The sequence below is a fragment of the Homo sapiens genome, chromosome 2 (genome assembly GCF_000001405.40).
Source record: "Homo sapiens chromosome 2, GRCh38.p14 Primary Assembly".
NCBI classification, from domain to species: Eukaryota; Metazoa; Chordata; class Mammalia; order Primates; family Hominidae; genus Homo; species Homo sapiens.
The window spans coordinates 110,081,271-110,108,406 of record NC_000002.12 but is presented as its reverse complement, the minus strand read 5'-3'; the positions used below and the strand labels follow the sequence as shown (position 1 = coordinate 110,108,406).

At 48.5% G+C, this 27,136-nt stretch overlaps 1 protein-coding gene and 1 non-coding gene across 4 annotated transcripts in view, besides 2 other annotated features; both read left to right on the top strand.

Annotated features, from left to right (window-relative positions):
- MALL (mal, T cell differentiation protein like) overlaps positions 1 to 24,537 on the top strand; it is a 34,270-nt gene extending 9,733 nt beyond the window's left edge. For 2 of the 3 annotated variants that reach the window (NM_001371559.1, NM_005434.5), the window contains exons 2-4: positions 16,637 to 16,804; positions 20,710 to 20,835; positions 22,650 to 24,537. In NM_001371559.1, coding sequence (NP_001358488.1) covers positions 16,637 to 16,804; positions 20,710 to 20,835; positions 22,650 to 22,712 — 357 coding nt within the window. In that variant the 3' untranslated portion in view covers positions 22,713 to 24,537. The remainder of the gene's footprint in view (positions 1 to 16,636; positions 16,805 to 20,709; positions 20,836 to 22,649) is intronic. The other variant, NM_001371560.1, reaches the window with a different exon arrangement.
- Positions 1,730 to 2,929: an enhancer, noted in NCBI's record as "BRD4-independent group 4 enhancer chr2:110863055-110864254 (GRCh37/hg19 assembly coordinates)". NCBI's record gives its function as "activates an origin of replication core promoter dependent on BRD2, P300/CBP, MED14 and CDK7 cofactors, and independent of BRD4, by STARR-seq in HCT116 cells {active_cell/tissue: HCT116}" and the evidence as "EXISTENCE:reporter gene assay evidence [ECO:0000049][PMID:35650434]".
- MIR4436B1 (microRNA 4436b-1) lies at positions 21,884 to 21,974 on the top strand. Its single transcript, NR_039941.1, has one exon. It is a non-coding gene; the product is annotated as a microRNA 4436b-1 (primary transcript).
- Positions 26,342 to 26,842: an enhancer, noted in NCBI's record as "H3K27ac hESC enhancer chr2:110839142-110839642 (GRCh37/hg19 assembly coordinates)". NCBI's record gives its function as "activates a minimal SCP1, AML or CMV promoter by ChIP-STARR-seq in naive H9 embryonic stem cells {active_cell/tissue: H9 hESC(naive)}" and the evidence as "EXISTENCE:reporter gene assay evidence [ECO:0000049][PMID:30033119]".

Below are 27,136 nucleotides of genomic sequence, written 5' to 3'. Positions count from 1 at the left end.
TGAGATTTCCCAGAGTATTTCACATTTCTAAAAGTGTGTCCAAAGTTTCCTGAATTTTTGACTGTTTTTTCTTTAAGCTATCTATTTCCATGAATATTTCTCCCTTCACTTCTTGTATCATTTTTTGGACTTCCTTTGCATTGGGCTTCACATTTTTCTGGTCCCTCCCTGATTAGCTTAATAACTAATCTCTTGAATTCTTTTTCAGGTGAATCAGGGATTTCTTCTTGGTTTGGATCCATTACTGGTGAACTAGTGTGATTTTGGGGGGTATTGAAGATCCTTGTTTCGTCATATTACCAGGGCTGGTTTTCTGGTTCCTTCTCATTTGCATAGGCTCTGTCAGAGTGAAGGTCTAGGGCTGAAGGCTGTTCAGATTCTTTTGTCCTACAGGGTGTTCCCCTGATGTAGTATTCTTCCCCTTTTCCTATGGATGTGGCTTCCTGTGAGCCAAACTGCAGTGATTGTTGTCTCTCTTCTGGATCTAGCCACCCAGCGAATTTACCTGGCTCTGGGCTGGTACTCTGGATTGTCTGCACAGAGTACTGTCATGTGGAATGTCTATGGGTCTCTCAGCCATGGATATCAGTGCCTGTTCTGGTGGAGGTGGCAGAGGGTGCAGTGGACTCTGTGAGGGTCTTTAGCTTTGGTGGTTTAATGGTCTATTTTTGTGCTGGTTGGCCCCCTGCCAGGAGGTGACACTTTCCAAAAAGCAGCAGCTGTAGTAGTATGGAGAGGGACCAGTGTTGGGTGGAGCCCTAGAACTCCCAAGATTATATGCCCTTTGTCTTCCACCAGAGTGGATAGGGAAGGACCATCAGATAGGGGCAGGGCTAGGCATGTATGAGCTCAGACTCTCCTTGGGTGGGTCTTGCTGTTGCTGCTGTGAGGGGTAAAGGTGAGATTCCCAAGTTACTGGAGTTGTGCACTTAGGAAGATTATGGCTGCTTCTGCTGGGTCATGCAGGTTGTCAGGGAAGTGGGGGAAAGCTGGCAGTTACAGGCCTCACCCAGCTCCCACACAAACCAAATGGCCAGTCTCACTCCCTCTGTGTACCCCCCAGCAGCCCCAAGTCTGTTTCTAGGTGGAGGGCAAGATGGGTTTGAAAACTTGCCCCAGGCTATCCTCCTCCCCAGCTTCCCCCGGTGGCTGCATCTTTCCTAACAGTAGTACAGTATCAGAGCCCAGAAGCTGCCCTTGGTACTTGGGGGCTCCACTTTTCTCACATGTGTAGATTCAGGGAATCACCACTGCATCAAGGCACAGGACTGCCACTCACCACAAAGAGCTCCCTCGTGCTACCCTTTCAGGGTGCACCCCCTACCCTGCCCTCCCTCACCCCCTCCTGAACAAACCCCTGAAAACCACAAATTTCATTCCTACAATTTTGTTATTTCCAGAAAGTTATATAAATACATGAAATCACACAGTATATGGGTCTTTGAGGTTGGCTTCTTCCACTCAGCCTAATGCTCTTGAGCACCATCCAAGCTGTGGCCTATGTCAATAGCTCCTTCCTTCTTACTGCTAAGTAGCGTTCCGTGGTCTGGCTTTGCCGTCATTTGTTTAACCATCCACCTATTGAGAAACAGTTTGCCTGTTTCCAGTTCTTGGCCGTTCCAAATAAAGCTGCTGTGAAAACTTGTGTGCAGGCTTTTGTGTGGGGGTAATGCTCAGTTCTCCAGGGAAAATGCCCCCGTATGATTGCTGGGTGGTGTAGTAAGTGTACGCTTTATTAAGAAACTGACAAACTATTTTCCAGAGTGGCTGGAGAATAACTTCTGTGTTTTACATCCCCACTAGTGATTGATGAAACTTTATCAGTAAAGTTCATGTTTTATGTAGTTTACTGGTGAATTTAGATTTCTTATTTAAAGACAATATTAATTTTGAAACATAATCTCCAAGTGCAAAAAAGGTTTGAATGGGTGAATTTTAAGATGAGAACAGACATCCATTTATTTTCTCTCTCCTTCATGTAGCAAGTGTGTGTGCCTTGGGGGAGCCTGGGGTGGGTGCGGCTCACACCCGTGCCCTGCTCTGGAGCCAGCTGTCTGCGGGTGCTGGGGGCTGACCATGCCATTACCTGTATGATACGAGGTGACTCATCAGCTTTTTTATAAGCTGAATTTTATAAGCCGAAGGGTGGAAGCTGCAAGCTCACCCAGGGTGACTGTGAACAAGGAAATGCTTTATGACTATGACTCCAATAAATTATTTTAACTGTCAACCTTGTCACTAGTTGACTTATGAGATTTTTGACTAGTTTAAAACAAACAGCTAAGATTTCTAGAGGTTCAGAAAGTTAAAAGCGGAGACCATGCAAACTCTTTGTTTGATGTTAGATGTTTTCCTTTCAGCTGCTTAACTCACCAGCACATTAGTCAGAGATAAATCCTCTGAGCCCTTAGAAGTTCATCCTGAGCTCTTCCAGTTCGGCAAGTTCATTGTATGTCTTACCCAAATGGCCAGTACCACCTTCATTCCAACCTGCTGCTGCTTCTACTCTGTTTATATGGAAGAGCCTGTCTGAAGCTCACTGAAGCCAGGGGCTTCCCGGGAGCCCCCTAGGGCCAACTCTCTGTGGACTGAAAGTGAATGGGTGGGGCTGGGAGAAGAAATTAGGGCTCCTCTTAGGCCTGACCTTAAGGCAGGCATCTTCCCCTTCCTTCCAACTGTGCCTTAGAAGTTGAGTTTTCCAGGAGGAGAAATCATCTCCCTTGCTTTCCTCTGCTCCCCTGTCAGTTCTCCATACTTCCAGGAGCAGCAAAGTTAACTCAATTTACCCCAGTTTATTTTATAATTTTCTTTTCATGCTTCAGCCTTTCTGTCTCTGTCCCTCCCTTCACTCCCCTCACTGCCATGTGGCGTCTTCCTGTCCTTGGTCTGGCTCCCACAGGGCAGCACCCTTCTCTTCTGTTCTCCTGCAGGACATGGGAGCCACCAACCTCTGTGCCCGTGGGACCATGGGGTCCCGTTGGAATAATGGCCAAGGATGTCCCCTGGAAAACAAGGACGGGAGAACATGAGGAAAGGGAAGGCCTTGGGCTGGGGAAGAGCAAGACCTCCCAGGAGAGAAGATGAAAAGGGCCATGGGACAGGAGTTGGATGTGAACCTCCCCACACTGCCTGTGGCCACCTTGGCCCCTTGGCCAGGCCCAGCCCCTACTCTGGGAGGGCACTGTGTATTCAGGTTCAGTAAAATAGAGTCAGTCAGGATGGGGCCTAAAGTCTGGCTCTGCTTCTTCATTGCTGTGAGACCCTGGGCAGGTTACTTCATCACTCTCAGCCGCAGTTTCATCAACAATGGAAAGAGTAACAATAAAGAGAAACAAGGATCCTATAAGACAGCTGTGGGGTTTGAATGTGGACTTCATAGGAAATGTCAGGACATGGTGAGTGAGTGCTCCATAATGCCAGCCCATACTACTTTAGCATTGGCGGTCATTGGACCTCTTACTAGAAAGCGCATTGTAAGACAAGTAACAATTGTAAGTCAACAAGTGTTTATTGAAACACTACTGCCACTCTAGCCCCATGCTCTGCTCTTAGGGGCATACAAAAATAAGACAGTCATTGAGGGGATAAGGTAAGGCATGAGCCTCTCTTAAAGGAGTGGTGCAACTAACACACTGAAGATGCAACGAGCACTCCAGGACAGGAGACAGGTGAAAAGCAGGGGCTGCACAGCCACAGCTGCCCAGAGGCCCTGGGAGCCAGGTGGTGTCAGGACAAGATGATTCAAGGAGGAGCTTGACATTCTTGGAGGGCTTGGATTGATGGGTGACGCATTTTCTTGTTCAGATTAGGACTGCCTAGGACCAGGAAGTTAACAAATATATAAAGTCAGGGTACATAAAGACTTAAGTCTCCCACTTAAATTCCAAGTATTCATTCAAGCTGAGCACCTACTCTCTCTCTGCCAAGCACTGGCGATACAAAATAAACAAGACAGACATGGCCCCTGCCTATGGAGCCTGATGCGTAATGAGGGCGGTGGAGAACAGCCAAGGAAATCTGTAAAGGCGCTGTGCCTGTCACGGTCCAGTAGGAAACAGAAACCATGATAGGTGCTTCACACAGAGGGGATTCAATACAAGGACTTGTTGACACAGTCGTTGGAAGGCTCGATGAACAGAAAGGGGTCACTGAACAATCCAGAGAATAATAAGTGCTCACAGTGCCTGCTGCCCAACCCCAGAATCAGGGACAGAGGGGCAGCGATGCTGATGCTCAAACCTATAGATGAAGCTGTCTCTGTCTTGCCAGTGCTCAGACCAGTGTGGGGGTGCTGGGAGACAGTGGTCACCCTAAAGAAAGGGCACTGGGACCCTCATCTCCAGCTGCTGCTGCTGATTCTGGAGAGACAATGGCAAGGCCTGGAAAAGGCAGCAGGAAGCCCCCACTTCTCTCCTAACATCCCAGCCTCCCTCCAAGTCCTCCCCTGCCAGAACCTAGCAAGGAATCAGCCACCGAGGGAGCCCACACCACACAGCAGAGAGATGCTGGGAACCACCTGGCCTGGCCCCGCATCCCTGGCCACTCCGGCCCCTGTCTGAACTTCCAGCCCTGGTCTTTCCCTGGCCGTCCAGCAGGACCATGAGCAGCCGTCCCTGAACCAGTGGTCTCTTTCAACTTGGCCAAGACAGGCAACCAAGCACACTGTCAGAAGGCCAGCCCACCCGGAGGGGTCCACAGACTTGACGGCTGCTCTGAAGGAGCCACCGGCTGCTGGCATGGAGTCTAACAGAGAGGCCCCGGGCAGTCTGACCCACTGGACCCAGGGCGAGCCCTAGATAAGGAGCCTTGCCAGTAGAAGTGCTGGCTCTCTCCGCCATTCCCAGGAGCTGTCTCCCTGAAGAACTTTCCCCTGGGCGGGGCAGATCTGTGGGAGTCAGGAGAGGCTCCTAGAGTGTTGTCCAGATTGGCAACACTCAGGGCAAAGGGCCCTAGTGCGGAGGAGCTCGAGCACCCTGACCTTTGCCCCCTCATCTCTTTCCAGCCCCTCCCCTGCCTCGTCCATCCCTGCCAGCCAGCCCCTAGCCTCGGGCCCCCTTTGCCTCCTGAAGAGACCAGCCTGTCCCTCAGTCACCACCTGGTCAAGCTCCCCCATCTCAGCCAGAATGGATGGCTGCTCAGGCCCCACACAGGCCCCACTCCATTGGACAGGGCCAGCCCTTGTACCGCGTTCCACAGCACTAGCTCCCCATGGCACCACTTCCTGTCCCCTGGCCACAAACTGTCCCTAGAAGATACCAGCGGGGTCCCAGAGTACAGTCTCAGTGGGATCCCCATCCAGAGGGGCCGGATATCATGAGTCTGGGACTCCAGAGTCTTCAGACCTCTTTCAAAGAAGACTGGATTCTTTGAGCTTTGCTTTTCTACTTCAGCACTATTCACAGATACCCCCACCAGCCTCCCTCCAACACTGCCCATCTGGACTCTTTCTGCCCCAGTGATGTTGGGGGAGGTATGGAGGGGGATGTGTATTTATTTGAGCACTGTCCTTTCTGACAGCACATTTTTTAGTAGTCTGTCCTATGTACCAGGGTGGTGGGGCATCTCAGGATGACAAGGGGTGCCGATGGGGTCAGGGAGGAGGCAGGGTGGTGGGAAAAGCCTTCCCAGGGAATCCTGAGGGACAGTTGCTCCCTACCCTACTGTGAGAATTTCTGGGGCCTGGGAGGTGATGGAGCAGGAAATAGGTGAGGATGAAACAAATACACGTCTGTCTCCATTTGGTTCAGGCTCCTGGCAGGAATGCCGGTCTGTGGCTAGGCCACAGTGGAAGGCCCAGAAGGCGGCAGGCGATGCCACTTCCATGGGCGTCTGTCCCAGGAATCTGAGGCTGTGAGCAGCTAGTGAGTGGTGTGTCCAGCAACCCCCTCCTCCTTTCTCAAGTGAGTCAGTGACATGTACCAAGCACTTGCTTTATGCCAGGCTCCATGCTGTACTCCAGGGACAGAGACCTCAGGGCACACAGTCCTGCCTCCAGGAGCTCAGAGTTTCAACAGGAGGCAGGGAAGAGAAAAGAGAGACAATGACAGTGGAGAGTGATCCTAGGGGAGGTATGCTGGGGGACTTGGTAGTCAAGGGTGGCTTCCTGGAGGAGGTGACATGGTCTGGTCCCTGCCTTTCAGGGTCTAGTCATAGATAGACTGGGGATCAGCTGGGGAGAGCCAAGCAGGCAATCCATCAACCAGAACTAAGTGACCCGGTGCCTAATGAAGGGCAGGTTATTAGTCACAAAATGTCTGTGGGCTCCTGAGGAGAAAGGAGGGTATGGGGACTTCCCCTGAGCCTGAGTCCAGGGATCATCAGGCAACTTCTTTTGGGGAACATGGGCAGGAACATGAAGTTAATCAATGTACAGGGAGAGTGAGAAAGAGGACACTGGGGCAGGGGGCCAGGGAGAGTGGGGAAGCCCAGCCACCGGGCCGCGGTGGGAGCAGGATGCCTTCCCCTTGCTGCTTTACAGCATTTCTGTGCTTTTCTAAGGTACACAGGTAGTCAAAAGGGAAAATATGCCCCCCAAATGCTGTGTTTAATTTTGTCCTCTTCCTTTTTTTTTAAGAGACAAGAAGGAAAAGGGCTTTAGACTTTGGATGGAAAAGAATGTTCTCATTAGTCAATTTTATGTGACATTGCAAATCTGTGCTGTTTGGTCAGTAAAAAGTGAAGGCAATCAGTCTGAATGGGCGGACGTGGTGCTGGGGGAGGAGGAAGCAGGAATGGGGATGCCTGGCCCTGACTCAGGGCCCCTCCCAGACTGCACTTCCTGCCACTCTGGTGCGCCCATCCCAGGGAGGCCGGGCGCACTGCCAGCCCCATTCAGTGAGTGCTTATGAGTACCAAGGACGCCTGACTTGCTCAGCCAGGAGCAGCTGCGGACGCGAGTTCCCACCAGTGCTGGATGGAAGTTCCTGCCAACACTGTTATCCAGCGGGAGATGAGACCTGGCCCTCACTGGAGGCCTTAGGGGCCTGGGCTGGCAATTTCCTGCTAGCCTTAAAGCCACAGAAAAAGAAAATTCTCCCTCCATGAGTCAGGACGCAGTGACTCAGGGTTTGGAAGTGTGCTAGGTTGAACTGCAGAGTGTGGAACTTTCATGCAATGCTACTTGTTTTCAGGGTGCTCTTGGGGTGCTGGAGACAGACCTGCCACACCCCTACTGGGTAACTGAGGATGCCCCTCTGCCTTTTAAAGCCAGCATCCTCCTGTATTCGAAGCACAAAGGAGATAAGGATGGCTGCTCAGGCTTCATGAGGCTGCAGGGCCAGTGACACGGGGGTGGGAGCTGCCTCATGGGCTATAAGCAGCACCCAGGTGGACCCTGGGTCTCTGAGCCACCCACAGGGAGACTTGCAGTCAGGTGAGCCCTGCCCAGGAGCACCCAGCACAGCCTGGCTGGGTCCCTGACCTCCAGCTGTGGCACTTGGGGTAGGAGCATGCGTGTGGAAGACCCTAGCTCGGATACAGGGAGTTCCAGCCCCACAGAGGTAGGGCACTCCAGGGCTCCTCCCACTCTCCCTGACAGCGGGCCTGTCATCTCACCACATTTCCCTTCACCTTCCTCAGCGGCTCCCACTCCCACCCAGACCCCCGCATGGCCCCTCAGGCCCTGGGATGGGGCTCCTGCTGCAGCCGCCAGGCTGGGGCCTGTGCTGGGCTGTGGCCTACCCATGGGACAGTGCTGTGAAGGGGAGGAATGGTCCAGGGGTGGGCAGGAAGGAAGGCACGCTGGAGCAAGGGCTTCCACAAACTCATCCACAAAAAGGGAGAGATTTCCATCGCAACCTGGTACACTACAGGCGGGTGTGGGTGTGTGTGTAAGTGAAACAAAAGATCCAGGAAACAGTATTTCCCTTTCCTGTACACAAAACGCTCCTAAACTTTACATCCTAGTCTGCTTAAGTTTTTTTTTTTTAGGGTGGGGGACAGAGTCTTGCTCTGTCACCCAGGCTGGAGTACAGTGGTACAAGTATAGTTCACTGCAGCCTCGAACTCCCGAGCCCAAAGGATCCTCCCCGCACTCAGCCTTCCAAGTAGCTAGGACTACAGGTGTGATCACTTAATTTTTTGAAACGTTTTCTAGAGACAGTATCTCATTTTGTTGCCTAGGCTGGCCTCAAATGCCTAGCCTCAAGCAATCCTCCCACCTCAGCTTCCCAAAGTGCTGGGATTACAGGTGTGAGCCATTATGCCCTGTTGGCTTCAGTTCTTAATGCTGGTTGATAATCCACTAAATGGAGTCACAATCCATGAATGAGTCTCACTCATAGTTTGCCAGTCCCAGGACTGGGGGAAGTGGTGGAGGCTTGGGGAGCCCAGCATAAAGGTGAGGGTGGGTGTCCTGAGTTTGGCCTGGGAGTCAGGTGAGGCAGTGGAGTGTTTGAAGAGAGGGTGAGGGGTATGGGCGACCCGCACAGACTTGAATCCCAGGGGCTCCTCAGCAGTGCTGTGAAAGGGCTGTCGCTGGCTGGGACTGGCCTTAACAGAAGGGAAATGCACTATCTCGTGTCCTGCGATCTGGGTCAGCAGCTCGGTCGTGTCATCTGGGATGCAGGCTCCTTTCCTCTTTCTCCTCCTCCATTTCATAGCTCCAGGTTCACCACTGCACAGTAATGGCCAGAGCAAGAAAGGGACCATTGTGCCCTGTGCCCCCTTCTCAGGCACCAGGTAGACTTTCCCTCTGTCTCGTTGACCAGGACTAAGTCAAGTATGTATCCCTAGTAGGGAACGTGATGAGCCTAATGGCATGGGCAGTGACATCCCCTTACTGGTGAGATCCCAGGTGGGGAGCTCACTCCACAGAAACAGTTTGTAATGAGAGAACTCTCTCTGCAACAAGGTATTCGCTGCAGCATCATTTGTAACAGGAAAAAGCTAGAACACTCTACATACCCTGACTAGGGCCTAATTGAGTAAATGAGGTTTTATCAACTTGATGGAAGATAATTTTGACACTGAAAACACAGTGGACCCTCATAACTCCTGGATTCTGTATTTGCAAATCCACCTACTTGCTAAGATGTATTTGTAACCCCCAAATTAATACACTTGGCACTTTCACAGTCATTGACATGCTCAGAGCAGCTAAAAACTTGAGTTGCCAGGCACGCACACACATTCCCAGCTGAGGTCAAGCAAGGTGACGCTCTGCCTTCCTGTTTGAGTTCTCGTGCTGTAAGGTGTCCTTTTCGAGATCCCCTTAGCGCTCCATGTTCAGAACCAAACTCCCACTCATTTTGCATGAACAGAACCAAACTCCCAAGGGATGCTATGGTGGCAGGAACATGCGCACAACTGTTTGACAGAGCTGTGACTCTTGAGGCATTTTGCATGGCAACTGCCTGATGGGGTCTGAAGCACAGCCCTAGGGTAGGCCTTGTCTTGTTTTTCATTTTTTTTTTTGAGACAGGGTCTTTCTCTGTCACCCATGCTGAAGTGCAGTGGCACAATCAAGGCTGTCTGCCTCCCGGGCTCAAGTGATCCTCCCATCTCAGCCCCCCGAGTAGCTGAGACTACAGGCATGTGCCACCGTGTCTGGCTAATGTTTGTATTTTTTTAGAGACAGGGTTTTGCCATGTTGCCCAGGCTGCTTTTGAACACTTGGGCTCGAGTGATCCCCACCTTGGCCTCCCAAAGTGCTGGGATTACAGGTGTGAGCCACTGCACCCAGCTGTTTTTTCCTTTTCAGGAGTGTGCATCAAAGAGCTATTTGGACACTCGTGGTCATAGCAGCATTATTCACAATAGCCAAAAGGTGGAAGTAACCCAAATGCGTATAAGCAAATGAGTGGATAAACCAACTGTGACACACATATGCAATGGAATATTATTCAGCCTTGAAAAAGAAGGAAATTCTGACACATGCTACAACACAGATGAACTTTGAGGACATTATGCTAAGCGAGAAGGGCAGTCACAAAAGGACAAATACGGCATGATTCCATTCATATCAGGTACCCAGAGTAGACGGAAAGTAGAATGGTGGTTGCCAGGGACTGCGGGGAGGGAAGAGTGGGGAGTTGTTGTTTAATGGGTACAGAGTTTCAGATCTGCAAGATGGAAAGCACTCTGGAGATGGATGGTGGTGATGGGTGCACAACAGTGTGAATGAACATGAATGCCACTGAACTGTACACTTAAAAATGGTTAAGATGGTGGATTTTGTTATATGTATTTAACCACAATTTTTAAAAAGAGAGAGAGGTATCTAGTAGGCAAGAGAGCCTGGACTTAAACAGCATGCACTCTGCATACGTGAATGCGAGGGACAATCCTTTCCTTCATCCTGAAATATCACAATGGCAGAGGGAGCCTTCAGGACATCCAGGTTCCCGCCGTGGGCAACGCCCGCATGTGTCCTTTGCAGAGCCCATTCCTGCCTGGCCCGTGGTGGGACCAGGAGACCCCGGCTCACCTGTGTGCTGATGACAAGAGCCGCACCCATCTTGACTGGGGTCTTTTTCTCTCAGCCTGAAGTTTTTTAGGCTTTATGAAGCCTGTGGTCACCTGAGTGCCAGGGAAGAGAAGGAGAGGCAAAGCTGTCATAAAAATTAAGAGACGCAGTAAGAAAAGGAATTTGGGGTTGGCAGTACGTGAAACCTGCCATGCTGAAGCAATGCCCAGCTATGCAGAAAAACCTGCCACAGGGTACCCACCCCTGGCACTCCTCCCTCCTTCTCAGCTCCTTGTCTGCCCCACCCCAAACCCACACCTCCCAGCCACAGCCCAGAGCCCTGGCCACACAGACCTGAGACCATGCATCTTTTTGACATATCCTTCACGGTTCCCAGGGCATCATTACTCAGGCAGCGTCTGTCTCAGAACCTCAGTGTGTGATCCCGGCCCCTGCAGCAGCCCCTCTCCCACCCATGAGGGGCTTCCAGCTGCTCTGTGCAGGTGAGCAGATCCACTCTACCCAAAGGCCATCCTCCTTATCTCTTCCCATTCAGAATTCTCCGTGAGACTCCAGTGCCCACGCGACTTTCTTTTCTTTTTAAATTTACATATTATTTGTTTGGGGTTAGTTTAAACGTGAACAGGGTCCTACATTCAAAACTGTCTCCAAGCCAAGAGGTTCTGCTTCCCCGAGACCAAGGCACTGACTGGCTGATTGGGTCTCATTCTGGAAGTATTCTGTTCACCCACAACAAATGCACATATACACAGACACTCGCACATGCATTTTCTTATTTTTCTGCACAAATCCTAGCACACTGGGTACACTGGTCTGTGCCTTTACAAATTCTTGGAGTTTGTTCCATTTTGGGATATAGAATTTTCTCTCTCTTTTTTTTTTTTTGTTTTGTTTTGTTTTTGAAGATTGCAGAGTGTTTCACTTTGCAGACATAATTGATTTAACTGGTCCCCTCTGGATAAAGGGGTCATTTCCTAGCTTTTCTGTAATCAACAGGCTGCAATAAACAACTTTTATATTTGTCATTTTGCTCACATGCATCATTTGTAGGACAAATTCCATCAAGTGAAATTACTGAGTTGAACAGTATGGGCATTTAATGTTTTGATCAATATTGCCAAAATAATAGAGTCGTTGATGGCACAGTTATTTAACCTGGAGGTGGCAATGGACTTCAACTGGGAGGTTGCAGACGGACACTGGGGGTCTGTGAGTCCCCAGATTCGTAGGCAAAAATTGTGTGTGTGTGTGTGTGTGTGTGTGTGTGTGTAGGTACATTTTTCTTGGTGACCAAAGCCATCATCAACTCATAAGAAGAGTCTGTGCCCTCTAAATGTTATCTCACCCACCCAGCTGATTGATCTCCCATCTCTCCTTTCCAAAAGTGAATTTCCCATCCTTTAGAGAGGCCTCTCTTGGACATTCCCTCCTCTGTATCTTTCTCATGGAATGTCCCTTCCTGCCCTCTGTGCCGTTCCAAATGGTTATGGCTACTACAGCCAACATTCACCATGTGCCAGCAGACTCACCAAACCCTCACAAGGGCCAGATGATAGAGGGGCCAGTGAGACCCCCACCTCTTCTATTTGATAGATAGGCACACAGAGGCACAGACAAGCTAAATGACCTACCCACCAGGCAGAGCTGGGATTCAAACCCAGGAGGAAAGGCGCTGCATGGTGCATGGACTGGAGGTGAGAGTAGAAGCAGAGAGCTGGCCTCAAGCTTTCTCAGCCCTGGCCACCCCACCTGGGGAACAACGCAGCCTCCCTTACCTGTTCAAGCAGACTCTCTGGGGCAGGACCCCAGACCCTGGGGCTTTCTTGAAGTCCCCAAAGGCTTCTAGGAGTAGCAGGACTTGGAGTGCCGCCCGGAGGGTAGTGCTCAGGTATGCGTATATTTGAGAAGCTCTTTGCCCCCACACCACGTTTTTTGCCGGCTTCTCTTTCTTTTAAAGCAGTTTTCAAAATAATAAGCATCCTCCAAAAGTGACCAAATAAGTTTTTGTTTTAAGTATCATTTTGAACTCATGGATTTTACCTTAGTTGATGCATTCCAATCCATCATAGCTGTAAGAAGCTCAAGCGGTCCCATCTTTGGGCAGCAGGAGTCTGCTGAGTCCTTTTGACTGGACCTCAGGAGCCTTTGGAAATTTTCTCACTATCTGGTGTGGTAACATCCAGGCTCAACCTCCCTCTCCAAACCTGGTATCAGCCCTTTCTTCCTGGACACCAATCTGGGTGTTTTTACCCCAGTTCTTATAGTCTAGTTCTTTTTTTTTTCTTTTTTTAAATGATGACGCGATTAGATTTATTGGTTAAAAAAAGTTCACACTACATCGTTAAATTTAAAATGCAGGTTATAAGATGGTAATTTGACAATATTTTTTTTTAGTTGGAAATTTTATTTTATTATATTCTAGTTCTTAACCACTTTCTAAACATGAAGGAGCTCTTCATGTTCTAGAGAAGAATAGGTTTTAAAAACCTATTGTTAAGCTCCATCTTTCCTTAAGACGTCCTTTCAAGTTTCAGTTCAGCCTCTTGGAAAATTTGTATATGACTGTGTGTGTTTGCTTATAAGAAAAGGATCTGCCAAAGTTGTGCTTGAAATCTACTTGCTCTAAATGGCTCGCTGTAATCAAATATTTCTCAACTTTGAGGGCCAGCCCCAACCGTTGAAAAATATCTCCCGCTCTGAGGAAATACAAAAATAAACATTAAAATGGGAAAGCAGTTTAGGCCACCAGGAAATTTGGAAAGCCAAATATGAGCTTTAAGAAAAAGTAAAAACAAATACTCAAAGTTTTCACAACTGTAAGGAATCCAACCTAGACTACTTGAGACAGAAATGAGATCACGAACTCTACTGGGTTTCAATCCACCTGCAGCCCTTGGCTCTGGTCCCTCCTCCTGTTTAGGAGGTAGAGGGGTGTGGAAATAAGAAGTGAGTGACTTTCTTCTGCAGAACATTGATTCTGCAACACTGAAGCCATTGCAGGAAGGTTCCCATGACGTTTGAGCAGATTCCCAAATGCTCAGAGGCCCCTGGCCTGTTGTGAAAGGTAGGACAAGGATCCCTAAGCTATAGCTGGAACCCAGAGAGAGGAGGCCGCTGATGGGCTCCCTGAGACTCCAGGTGTGATGTCCCCATCAAGGCCTCTAATGCCCCAGGCAGACCTTGGCTGGGACTGTAGCAGGCCACCCTCTGGCATATTCTAGGAGCCTCTACCTGGCCCTGCCCTTGGCCTTGAAACCTGGTTTTTAGGGCAAGAACCACAACTGTCCTACACCATGTCTGAGTCCCACCACGCACTGCCTGTGTGACCTCAGGCCCTAATCCCCTCCGGTACAGTATTACCTCATGGACTGTGGCAAAGATTAAATGTGCAAATGTAAGTAACGTGCATATGGCTGTGTCTGGCCAGGGAAGCTTCTGATGGCAAGAGGGGCACCGGGACCCCACTGCAGGCACTGACTGGCAAGATGGGGCTGAGGTTCCCTTGCTGTCCCCATGCCTGGCACAGGTGAGCTGGCAGTAAGCAGTGGAAGGTGTCGAATGGTAGTTCTCTGGTCTTTCCAAGGGAGTTAGAATTGTTGTGTGGTCTAAATGAGGCAGTCTGAGTGAATGCATTTTATCAACTGTAAAGTACCTGGTGAACCACTAATAACCAGCATTGTTTGGGTGCTGTTCATATGCCAGCATCTTAATGCACTTCTCATGGCTTCTTGGCAAGCGCCTTAAAGCTGAGGCCTGGTACCTTTCTGAAGCATCAGCAGCCCTTGTCACTGGGATTGACACTCAGCAGCACAGTTGTGGGGGAGCCAGAGGACAGCGGCTTCCGTTCCTCACCACCCCCTCCCTAGGACAAGCCGGCTTTGACTCATTCTCCGGCAGTCTCAGACCAGCCTAGGACTTCCAAAATTCACTTGGATGTTGATTGTTAAGGAGGAATTTGCTACCAGAACTGGTGCTTTAAGAGGTGGCCACGCTGCTGGAGTTGTTTTCCCACCCCATAAAGCTATGATTGTGCTCCTTGCTGAGGAGTCTCTGCCTTGTGGTCAACTTCCTGTTCTCTTCTGGCTTCTCATCTCCCTTTTCTTTTTTCTCCTTAAAAGACTGTGAATATTCCATAAATCCAAAGACAACTGCCAGACAACAGCATGTGGAAACCTCAGAAGGGAAAGGGTGACATATCTATGTCTATGTATTGGCCAGTTGTAAGATAAGAACTGCTGGTCCCAGAAAGCTAAGGATATAGTTCGGAAAGCAGAACTGAAGTTGTATATCTTTTGGCTGAGCTATACAGAAGGGTGTGAAGGCAGGGCACAGTGGCTCTTGCCTGTAATCTCAGCACTTTGGGAGGCCAAGCTAGGAGGATTGCTTGAGGCCAAGGGTTTAAGACCAACCTGGGCAACACAGCAAGACCCTGTCTCTACAAAAAATAAAATAAAAATTGGCCAGGTGTGGTAGTATGTACCTGTAGTCCTAGCTACTTAGGAGGCTGAGGTGGGAGGATCATTTGATCTCAGGAGTTGGAGGCTGCAGTGAGCCATGATTGCACCTCTGCACTCCAGCCTGAGTGACAGAGAGAGACTCTCTCAAGAAAAAAAAAAGTGAGTGAAGTTGTTTGGTCTAGAAAGTTTCTAATACATCATTCAGAACTGAGCTACCTCCACGGACATGAGCTTCCAATCAAAATTCACTAAACATAAGAGGAAACAAGTGAACAAGAATAGAAGTTAATGGAAGCCACAAACTGCAGAATCAAGCTATTAAGGCCAAGTGAATGGAATTTTCAGATATTAAAATGTAGAATGAATACTAAGCAGGAGTAATAAAAAGATATCCACATCTCGACACATGGTATCACTGTTTCACAAACTGCAGAATGCCGAAGACAGAGTGAAGACTAAATATAGCCAAATAAGGAAGACAGATTCCTACAAAGCAAGAGTTCAACTGACAGCTGACTTTTCAATGGCAACAATGGAAGCCAGAATACAACAGAATATTATGGAAAAATATACAACACAGTGGAAACATATCTTGGAAGTGCGGAGAGAAAATAATTGTCAGGGGAAATTTAAAGACGTTTTCTAATAAATCAAACAGACTACTACCCTCTGACCTTCACTAAAGAGACTACTAAAGGTTGCACTCCAGGAAGAAGGAAAATTATCTCAGGAGGAAAATCTGGAATGCAAGAATATCTTCATGACTCAAAATAGAGAAGCATTTCTTTATTATTATTATTATTATTATTATTATTATTATTATACTTTAAGTTTTAGGGTACATGTGCACAATGTGCATGTTTGTTACATATGTATACATGTGCCATGTTGGTGTGCGTGAGAAGAATTTCTTAAACTTGATAAAAAACATAGTCAATAGAGGAAAAGATTGACATATTCAACTGCATTAAAATTGCGGGCTTAGTTAATCAAAGGAAACCAGAAAATATGTGAATGCTAGCAGAATATATTTGCAATGTTTATGGCAGTCCATGAAATCCACACCATTAGCAAGAATTCCTATGAATCAATAAGAAAAAGAAAAATCAATTTTAAAATATTTAACTGATTAAAAAATAAAAAACTTTACAGAGGAGGAAATATTAATGGCTAACAAATATATAAAAATAAGCTGTATCTCATTAGTAAACAATTACACAGTGTCAGTGAGCAACAGGGAATGTCCCACAGCATGGTGTGAGGTTAGTGGGGTGAGGGGATGTGGTCCACTGAGGACTCCAGGCCCTTTTTAAAGAGATAGTCACTACTCATTTCAGCCTACTCTGGCCTGAGAAATGGGTACACTGTGGCCAGAACCATGGATTTCTAAAGAAATGTCCCAAATCTGGATTTTCCATGTGAAATATCCTGTTTTGAATATTGGGAACTTATTCAGAATTGTTTAAAAAGTGTATATGCCAATACTGCTTGAGCCAAAAGACACATTCACAAGCTAGATTTGGCTGAGAGTCCCTCTGTTCATGACCTCTGCATTAACCCCTTGAATTTTCTAACAATCGGACCTGACTTTACCGTGACTCAGCGGGGCCAGCCTTCCTTCCCCATTTTCCTCTTGGTTCCCTCCTAACTTCACCTGAACTTGTAACTAGAGACAGAAAAGAGACACCCTGCAAAGGGAAACATACTCCACACTAGCTAATGAAGCCCCTTCTTTTATGCTTTTATCTTCCAGATATTTGGGTTCTTGGTCTGGACCATGGTAGCCGCCACCCACATAGTATACCCCTTGCTGCAAGGATGGGTGATGTATGTCTCGCTCACCTCGTTTCTCATCTCCTTGATGTTCCTGTTGTCTTACTTGTTTGGATTTTACAAAAGATTTGAATCCTGGAGAGTTCTGGTAAGAACCAGCAGCATGGCTCTTCCTGGGTGGACGTTCTGGGTTGGGTGAGGACAATTGGCCTTTCTGGGCAGGGAGGGATCCTGGGCTAGGCTCCTATGGAACCAAGACTTTTTATCTTACCATTTTTACTACCACGCTAAAATGAAGACATTTATCTGCAAGCGTAAATAATTCCTGGTATTCCCCTTCACTGGCTTCCCTGTTAGGAGAATACACAATGACCTGTGATCAAGCATATTCTGATGTGTTTCCCCTAAATTTTCTTCCTGGTAAAATCCTTGGAGCAACACTGAAGAAAAAGCTAGTAGGAAAAAAATCACTCCATTCTCAAGGCCCTAACACAATCCCTGCGACAGGGTATTTCTTCCATATCCCACATGAATTATATGCAAAGTATATATACATATATACGTATATACATATGTATATATGTATATATATGTATATATATACTTTAATTGTACTCTACAAATAATTTTGGATGTAGATGCTTTCATTTAATATTACATCACTAATTTTTATTTATCACGTCATCTCAAAAAACCATTTAAAACTGTTCCACACTGAACAATTGAAGACATATTTAAAAGTACAGAATATTGTATTATAGGCCCTCATGTAGCCATAACCCAGATTCCAGCATTATCAAGACCTTACCACATTTGTTTCATCTAGCCTTTGTCCCCACTAAGGAATTTTAAAGCAAACACCAAACATCATGCCATTCTATTCCACACACTTCAGTATGTTTCCAAAAAAACTCCGCAAACTTTCTCACATTATCACATGTATACGAAGTAAACAATTCCTCAGCATACCTAAGACAGTATACAGTGGTCCCCCATCTCCGGAGGATAAGTCCCAAGACCCCTAGGGGATGCCTGAATCCTCAGAGAGTACTGAACTCCGAATTTGCTATGCATGCACTTCTTTTTTCTTCTTCACAATTTCACAGATAGACAATTCATTCTTACTGTAGATCTTAACAACCTCAGCATATTTTTTTTCTTTCCTTATTAAGCTGAAAACTTATACTTTTTAACTTAAAGAAAGCACCCTATGACTTCTCTTTGGCATATCCAAATTGCCAGCATCACTACTCTTGCAATTTGGGGCCATTATGAAGTAAAATAAGGATTCTTTGAATGCAAGCACTGCAGTGCCACAACAGTTGATCTGATAGCCCAGATGAGTACAAAGCGACTAACATGGGTGGCACAGACAGTGTAGACATGCTAGACAAATGTCTGATTCACATCCCAGGTGGAACAGGGCGGGACAGTGCAAGATTTCATCATTGTACTCAGAAAGGCACACATTTAATTGTTAATTTCTGGAATTTTTCATTTAATATTTCAGACCAAGATTGACTTTGCGTAACTGAAATATACTGATCTTTATTAGTCTGCCATTGCTTACGACATAGATATTACATTAAAAACACTGTGTATTAGTCTATTCTCACATTGCTATAAACAACCAGAGACTGGGTAAATTATAAAGAAAAGAGGTTGAATTGACTAGTTCCTCATGGTTAGGGAGGCCTCAGGAAACTTACAATCATGGTGGAAGGTGAAGGCTAAGCAAGGCATGCCTTGCATGGCAGCAGGAGAGATGGGGGAGGGGGAAGTGCCATACTTTTAAACCATCAGATCCCATGAGAACTCATTCACTATCATGAGAACAGCATAGGGGAAACTGCCCCCATGATCCAATCACCTCCCACCAGGTCCCTCCCTTGATACATGTGGATTACAATAGGAGATGAGATTTGGGTGGGGACAAAGAGCCAAACCATATCATTATACCACTGGCCCCTCCCAAATCTCATCCTTCTCACATTTAAAAATACAATCATGCCTTCTCAACAGTCCCCCAAAGTTTCAACTTATTCCAGCATTAACCCAAAAGTTTAAGTCCAAAGTCTCATCTAAGACAAGAGAAGTCTCTTCTGCCTATGAGCCTGTAAAATCAAAAAGCAAGTTAGTTACTTCCAAGACACAATAAGGGTACAGGCATTGGGTAAATGCTCCCATTCCAAATGGGAGAAATTGGTCAAAACAAAGGGGCTACAGGCCCCATGCAAGTCCTAAACCCAGCTGGGCAGCCATTAAATGTCGACATTCCAAAATCTCCTTTGACTTCATGTCTCAGATTCAAGTCACCCTGTTACAAAGGGTGGGCACCCAAGACCTTGGGCAGCTCCACCTCTGTGGCTCTTCACAGTACAGCCCCTGCAGCTGCTTTCACAAACTGGCATTGAGTGTCTGTGCTTTTTCAAGGTGACCAGTGCAAACTGTCAGTGAACCTACCATTCTGGGGTCTACAGGACAGCTCTTCTCACAGCTGTACTAGCCAGTGTCACAGTGGGGACTCTCTGTGGGGGGTCTGACCCCACATGTCCCTTCTGCACTGCCCTAGTAGAGGTTCTTCATAAGGGCTCCACCCCTGCAGCAGACTCTGCCTGTACATCCAGTCATTTCCATACATCCTCTGAAATCATGGCAGAGGTTCCTAAACCTCAATTCTTGCCTTCTGCATGCCTGTAGGTCCAACACCATGTGTAAGCTGCCAAGGCTTGAGGCTTACACACTCTGAAGCAATGGCCCAAGCTGTACCTTGGCCCCCAGCTGCTGGAGCTGGGGCAGCCGGGTTGCAGAGTGCTGTGTTCCAGGACTGTGCAGAGCAACAGGGCCCTGAGCCTGGCCCACAAAACCATTTTTCCCTCCTAGGTCTCTGAGCCTGTGATGGGAGGGGCTACTGTGAAGATCTCTGAAATGCCCTGGAGATATCGTCCCCTTTGTCTTGGGGACCCTCATTACTCATGAAAATTTCTGCAGCTGACAGCTTGAATTTCTCCCCAGAAAATATGTTTTTCTTTTCTAACACATGATCAGGCTGCAAATTTTCCAAACTTTTATGTTCTGCTTCCCTTTTAAACATAAGTTCCAATTTTGGACCATCTCTTTGTGAATGCATATGATTGTACACTTTCAGGAAAAGTCAGGTCACATCTTGAATGCTTCAATGCTTAGAAATTTCTTCTGCCAGATACCCCAAATCATCTCTTTTAAGTTCAGAGTGCCACAGATCTCTAGGACAGGGGTAAAATGCCACCAGTCTCTTTGCTAAAGCATAGCAAGAGTGACCTTTATTCCAGTTCCCAATAAGTTCCTCATCTCCATCTGAGACCACCTCAGCCTGGATTTCATTGTCCATATCACCATCAGCATTTTGGTCAGAATCATTCAACAAGTCTCTAGAAAGTTCCAAACTTTCCTACATCTTCCTGTCTTCTTCTGGGTACCCCAAACTGTTCCAACCTTTGCCCATTATCCAGTTCCAAAGTTGCTTCCACATTTTCAGGTATCTTTATAGCAGTGCCTGACTCCTGGTACCAATTTTCTGTATTAGTCTGTTCTCACACTGCTGTAAAGAACTACCTGAGGCTGGGTAATTTATAAGGAAAAGAGGTTTAATTGGCTCACAGTTCTGCATGGCTAGGGAGGTCTCAGGAATCTTACAATCATGGTGGAAGGCGAAGGGGAAGCAAGGCACACCTTACATGGCAGCAGGAGTGAGAGAGGGAAGTGTCACACTTTTAAACCATCAGATCTTATGAGAACTCCCTCACTATCACGAGAACAGCATGGGGAAACTGCCCCCATAATCCAGTCATCTCCCACCAGGTCCCTCCCCCAACATGTGGGGATTACAATTCGAGATGAGATTTGGGCAGGGACACAGAGCCAAACCAAATCACACTGCAAAAAAAAAAAAAAAAGGCAGGACTCTAGGGGGCTGGCCTGCCTCATTTGCTCATTCTTTACTGCTATGTAGCCAGAGAGGAAAATGTTCACCTGATTGATGTGGCCATGCGTGGCTCTGCTCTGCATTTCCAGGACAGCCTGTACCACGGGACCACTGGCATCCTGTACATGAGCGCTGCCGTCCTACAAGTACATGCCACGATTGTTTCTGAGAAACTGCTGGACCCAAGAATTTACTACATTAATTCGGCAGCCTCGGTGAGTGGGCTGGCCAAGGACAGCAGTCTTGCCTGGAGGATGTTTCGTGCAGGAGGCCTAACTTTGCTTGTGCTGTATAGACCCTGAGCCCTCAAGTGGAAGGAGCCATGGGGGCAGGGGATAGGGATGTGTGTCCCTGTAAACATGTGCACCCACGTTCAGGGGTCCTCTTTTACCTTCTATTGTTCCCACTCCAGCTTTCCTCTCTCTTAGACACCCCCCACGCTGTCTGCAGAATTTTCTTTTTCCAAAACACAAATTGGAACAGATGTCTCTCTCCTACTGAAAATCCTTCAATGGCACCCACTGCCTTTGGAATGGGGCCCGCATCCCTCGGCATGGCTGAACTATTGAGAGATGAAGCAGGGAAGGGGAAAGTGGAATGTCGAGGTCTCAGGGGAGGAGGCATCAGGGAAGGCCCTGTCAAGAGGACAGAAGGAGGCAGGGGCCACCAGGCAGTTACCCCTGCTAAGGTCCCACCAGGCAGTTACCCCTGCCAAGGACCCTCTGTGTGCTCAAGGGCAGCCAGGAGGGTGGTGTAGCTGGGACAGCTGGCCATGGAGGATTGCAGGGGCCGTTGCTGGTCTTGCAAGTTTAGGAAGTTAAACTCACCTGATGAGGAGGGAAGGGAGGCAGACAGGCCAGAAGGCAGCTGAAATATCTTGTGGCCACCCCAGAGGGTCACAGTGCACTCCACAGTGGGTGGCATTTACCTCCATCTAACCCATGTATGTGCTACTCATCTATCTTGCTGCTATCTGCTTCTTATCTCTCAAATGTAAGCTCCATGAGGGCAGGAATTTTTGAATATTTTCTTCACTGTTATACCCACAGTTGCTCTTGAAGGAAAGCAGGTCCTTAAAAGATATTTGTTGACTGACTGACTGAATGAGGAGCGTGTGAGTGGACAGTGGGGCAGAGTGGGGCTGGGATGTTTGGCAGGGCCTGAAAGGTATTGAAGGTGACGGCCCTACCCTGAGAAAAGAGCAGAGCCATCATACAGCTTCAACGTGGGGCAACGGGATTGTGTTCTCCCCATGAGTGAGAAGTGTCCTCACTTGTCCACTTCTGCCTGCCCTGCCCAAATGGTGGAGCAGATTCGAGGGGCAGGGCAGGAAGAAGTGGACAAGTGAGGCCATGAGGAGTCCTGCCGAGGGATGCCGGTGGCTGAGACAAGGGAAAAATGAATGTCCCAAGAGCTAGGCAGGGAAATCAGTAGCCTTTGGGGTGGCTTTGCATATGGCTGGCAAGGGAGGCAGGAGGAGCCAGGGGCCACAGGGGTCAGGCTCAGGGAGTGGGGCGAGAGGAGGACCCTGGGGCCCACTGGGCTTGTCAGGCTTGTGAGGAAACGTCAGGGGCTCAGTGTGAGCCAGGAAGAGCTGGAGGATGTCTGAACATTCACGAGGAGCTGATAAGCAGCCGCTCAGGGCAGAGTTCTGGGCCAGCGAGGGGAGCTGTAGGAGTGTTCAGAACACAGATTTGCTGGAGGTGGGCAGAGGAGAGCGGGCCTCGGGCAGGAGGTCAGCGTGGGATATGGGCCCAGAGCTGTGGTGGAGGTGAGCCTGCTTCACAGCCAGGTGCAGATGAGGTGGAGACTGCAGTCGGGGCAGGACACCAGGACGGCCCCAGGGAGGCCCTGATGGAGAGTTTCCAGAAGAGGGAGTTGTTGGCCAGGGGTTGCTGCCCTCAGGCCACGCAGGAGGCGAGGAGGCAGGGTCATGCGTGGCCTCCTGGGCAGTGGGGCTGAGGGTACCTGAGGGGTGGGCAGGAGCTGGCGCTGCTGTCTCTAACAGTCACTCTCCACCTCCTTCCAGTTCTTCGCCTTCATCGCCACGCTGCTCTACATTCTCCATGCCTTCAGCATCTATTACCACTGATGCACAGGCGCCAGGCCAAGGGGGAAATGCTCTTTGAAAGCTCCAATTATTGGTCCCCAAAAGCAGCTTCCAACGTTTGCCATCTGGATGACAAACGGAAGATCCACTAAAACGTCCACGGGATTAACAGAACGTCCTTGCAGACTGAGCGATGACACCACACTTTGTTTGGACATTTAAATTCACTCTGCTGAATAGGAGGAAGCTTTTCTTTTTCCTGGGAAAACAACTGTCTCTTGGAATTATCTGACCATGAACTTGCTCTTCTAGACAACTCACATCAAAGCCCTCACTCCACTAATGGAGAATCCTAGCCCCACTAATGCCAAGTCTGTTTGGGGATTTTGCCTCAGCTATGGGCTTCCCTAGAGTAGGTCTAGGGGAATACTCAGTCTGATCTTTTTTTTGTTTGTTTTATTTTGTTTTTTTTGAGACGGAGTCTCGCTCTTCCTCCAAGGCTGGAGTGCAGTGACGCGATCTCCACTCACTGCAGGCTCCGCCTCCCGGGTTCCCGCCATTCTCCTGCCTCAGCCTCCCGAGTAGCCGGGACTACAGGCGCCCACCACCGTGCCCGGCTAATTTAGTTGTATTTTTAGTAGAGATGGGGTTTCACCGTATTAGCCAGGATGGTCTCGATCTCCTGACCTCGTGATCCGCCCGCCTCGGCCTCCCAAAGTGCTGGGATTACAGGCGTGAGCCACCGCGCCCGGCCTGATTCTCTTAAAATTGAAGAGGTGCTGCCAAGGCCTTCAGATCTAACGCAGATGCATAGACCTTGTTCCTGGTACTTGTTCAGCCTGTGCTGGGGAGCCGTGGTCCCGAGTTCCCTGGGAGGCTGACAGGGTCAAGCCACCCTGCCCACCACCCTCCCACTTCCCCTCCCCTTTCCTCTCCAGCATTAGGATTCAAGGGAAATTTGCATGAAGCCAATTTTGAGGGTAGACGTGTGGGGAAAATAAATCATTATACAGTAAGACCTGGGGCTTGAGGGGTGGGGAATGGGGAGGGAAGGGCATAGCCTGCTCCTCCATGAGTCTGACATCTCGGAAACTGAGCAGCTGCCGGACGCCTGGGTCAGGAATCCAAGACCCCACCTCTTAAGGACTGGTTCCTCAGAAAGCACCCTCAGGGAAAAAGGTGAAAACATTACATCCGTGGATTCTCCTGCCACAACCGCATTGGAAGAAAAGGCTGCCGCAACATCTCAGCGAGGAGTGAAGGACCCATGTCCCAGGAACCGCGCTGCGCCACCTGCACTCACCCCCCTCACATTCTCTTAAGCACCCGGTGGCCCTCCGAGGCCTGGCGGAATGGTGGTGCCCACGGGGTTGGGCAAGGGCTCACCAGGACCTCAACGGGCAAAGTTGTGCACACTAAAATATCAAATCAAGGTGCTTGGTTTTAAAGTAAATGTTTTTCTAAAGAAAGCTGTGCTCTTCTGTTGACCCAGACGAATAGGGCACAGCCCTGTAACTGCACGTGCCTTCTGTCATTGGGAATGAAATAAATTATTACGAGAAAGGGACTTGTCCTAACTGGTTTGAGGCCTTACAGTTTTGTATCTACATTTTTCCCCTCCTGGGGTTTGCGGGGACAGGGACAGAACTACAGGAGTCATGGGAAAGAAAATTCTGGCTTCACTACTGCTCACTGCTCACTTTCTGATCACTCTGATACTTTTTTTTTTTTTTTTTTTTTTGCAACCTGATACCTTGAAAAGCTTCTATGTGTCTCTCCTTTTGTTGCCTGGCAGCTGTCTAGGATGATCACTGATTACTATTTACTAAGTAGCCACATGCAAATAAAAGTTGTTTGGTAAAAAGGAGCAGTTGGTCGACTTCATCTTGTTAGCATCTGGAACTGGCCATCAGGTACTAGGTGTTGTCAGTAATTTCAAGAAAAGCACCCCTTGGAGCATTTCACAACCTAAGTTCTCTGAGGGTGGGATCCCAGCCCACCCGGCCTTGCTTCTAGAGCAAGAGCGAAGGGAGGTCACATTTGTCTCCAGGGCTTCGGGTTTATAATGTCATTTGTACTTCAGTAAGGACAGTTTGGGTGCAAGTTCCGGAAACCAAACTCATACAGCTTAGGCAAAAATGGGAGTGCACCAGTAGGGGCTGGGAGAGGTGAAGAGGGCTCAGTAGGAGGAGAGCTGACCCCCGCATGGCTCTCTGCTGCACACTGGCCATCGTCTCTTGCCACACTGCAAGACTTGTCCAAGTCTCAACAAACACCGGCCTCCCATCCCACGTGCAGACACTAGAGGCTCAGCCTGGACCCCCAAAGTCCATCCACCCACAGCTGTTGCAGTGCTGCTTTCTGCCTTGAGGGGCAGCCCTCCTCTCAGCGTAGGGGTCTCCCCAGGCTCTTGTCTTCTGGAGGGAACACCCCGAGGCTCTTGGCAGGCTTCTCAGAGGCCCCAGCAGGAGTGGGCTATCAGGGAACCTGCCCCGATAGTCATGTAGGTTCTTTTCTATTTTTCCTAAGTGTCGGCTGGCTTGAGAAATAAAGGGACAGAGTACAAAAGAAAAATTTTAAAGCTGGGCATCCAGGGGAGACACCACATGTCAGTAGGTTCCGTGATGCCCCACAAGCCGTAAAACCAGCAAGTTTTTATTAGGGAGTTTCAAAAGGGGAGGGAGTGTGCGAATAGGTGTGGGTCACAGAGATCACGTGCTTCACAAGGTAAATAGAATATCAGAAGGCAAATGGAGGCAGGGCGAGATCACAGGACCACAGGATGGAGGCAAAATTAAAATTGCTAATGAGGTTTCGGGCACCATTGTCATTGATAACATCTTATCAGGAGACAGGGTTTTGAGAGCAACCGGTCTGACCAAAATTTATTAGGCAGGAATTTCCTCTTCCTAATAAGCCTGGGAGCGCTGTGGGAGACTGGAGTCTATTTCACCCCTACAGCCTCGACCATAGAAGACAGCCACGCCCAGGGGGGCCTTCTATAGACCTACCCCCCAGGTGCGTATTCTCTTTCCCAGGGATGTTCCTTACTGAGAAAAAGAATTCAGCGATATTTCTCCCATTTGCTTTTGAAAGAAAAGAAATATGGCTCTGTTCTGCCTGGCTCACCAGTGGTCAGAGTTTAAGGTTATCTCTCTTGTTCCCTAAACATTGCTGTTATCCTGTTCTTTTTTCAAGGTGCCCAGATTTCATATTGTTCAAACACACATGCTCTACAATTTGTGCAGTTAACGAAATTATGACACGGTCCTGAGGCGACATACGTCCTCCTCGGTTTATGAGATGACAGGATTAAGAGATTAAAGTAAAGACAGGCATAGGAAATCACAAGGGTGTTGATTGGGGAAGTGGTAAGTGTCCATGAAATCTTCACAATTTATGTTTAGAGATTGCAGTAAAGACAGGCATAAGAAATTATAAAAGTATTAATTTGGGGAACTAATAAATGTCCATGAAATCTTCACAATCCACGTTCTGCCATGGCTTCAGCTGGTCCCTCCATTTGGGGTCCCTGACTTCCCATAACAGTGGGCTCTGGCGTGAGCTTCACAGGCTTTCTCCTTTCCAGGTTCTTCACTCGTCTTTTCCCCTGGGTTTCCCAGGATCCTGCACCCATCTTGTCTCAGGGCTGGCTGGCTATGGGGAAACTTAGACCCAGACACAACCAACTCCTGAGGCCCCAGCATGTGCTGGGCACTGGGGTGCAGTACCTTGAGACACAGGGTCCCACCAGCCACACCAGATGCCCCACACTGAGCAAGCAGCTCTGACTGGCAGCTTTGTCCCAAGACAGCCAGAGCCTCTGCTTTGGCCAATAACTGGGCCATGATCTTTAAAAGATAGAGGGAAAAGCACAATAAAATGTTAAAATTTGAAAAACAAATGATATCCTGATCTCTAGGGTTGGCCCCAGTGAAACTGGCAGCCCTACTTGCCTCCCCAGAAGGAATCTGCAGGGAAGCACATCTCAGTAATAACTAGATGCTGGACTTGAGAGTCAAAGGCCAGCTCCTGTTCAAAGGGAGGGACTGTGAGGGAGCATTGCCACTTCCTCCCCCAAATCTGCAGAGCTCAGATCCCAATTTGTGCTGCTAGATTCACTCAGTTGGATCTGGTCCTCCTTGGCACACCAGCAGGTGATAAACTCCCTTGCTCCAGAGCCTCTCTCCCTCCATCAGTCATCTCCAGTGCTGCATGTGCCTGTGTCCAAGCCTGATTCCTGACACCGTGCCTACCCATCACCCTCCATCACTTCCTGGGCTGGGAGAAGGGTGTGATGTTTCCATGGTGATACTGGACCACCCCCGTGCAGAGGCTTAATCACCATGAACTTTTACTAATTCAGTGGCCCAGGACTCTGTGTATAGGTATGAAATGGGATTGTAAACCCCTCCATCTCCTATGTATGTTTGTGTTCTCAGAGAAGGAATGTTGGAATTAGTGGC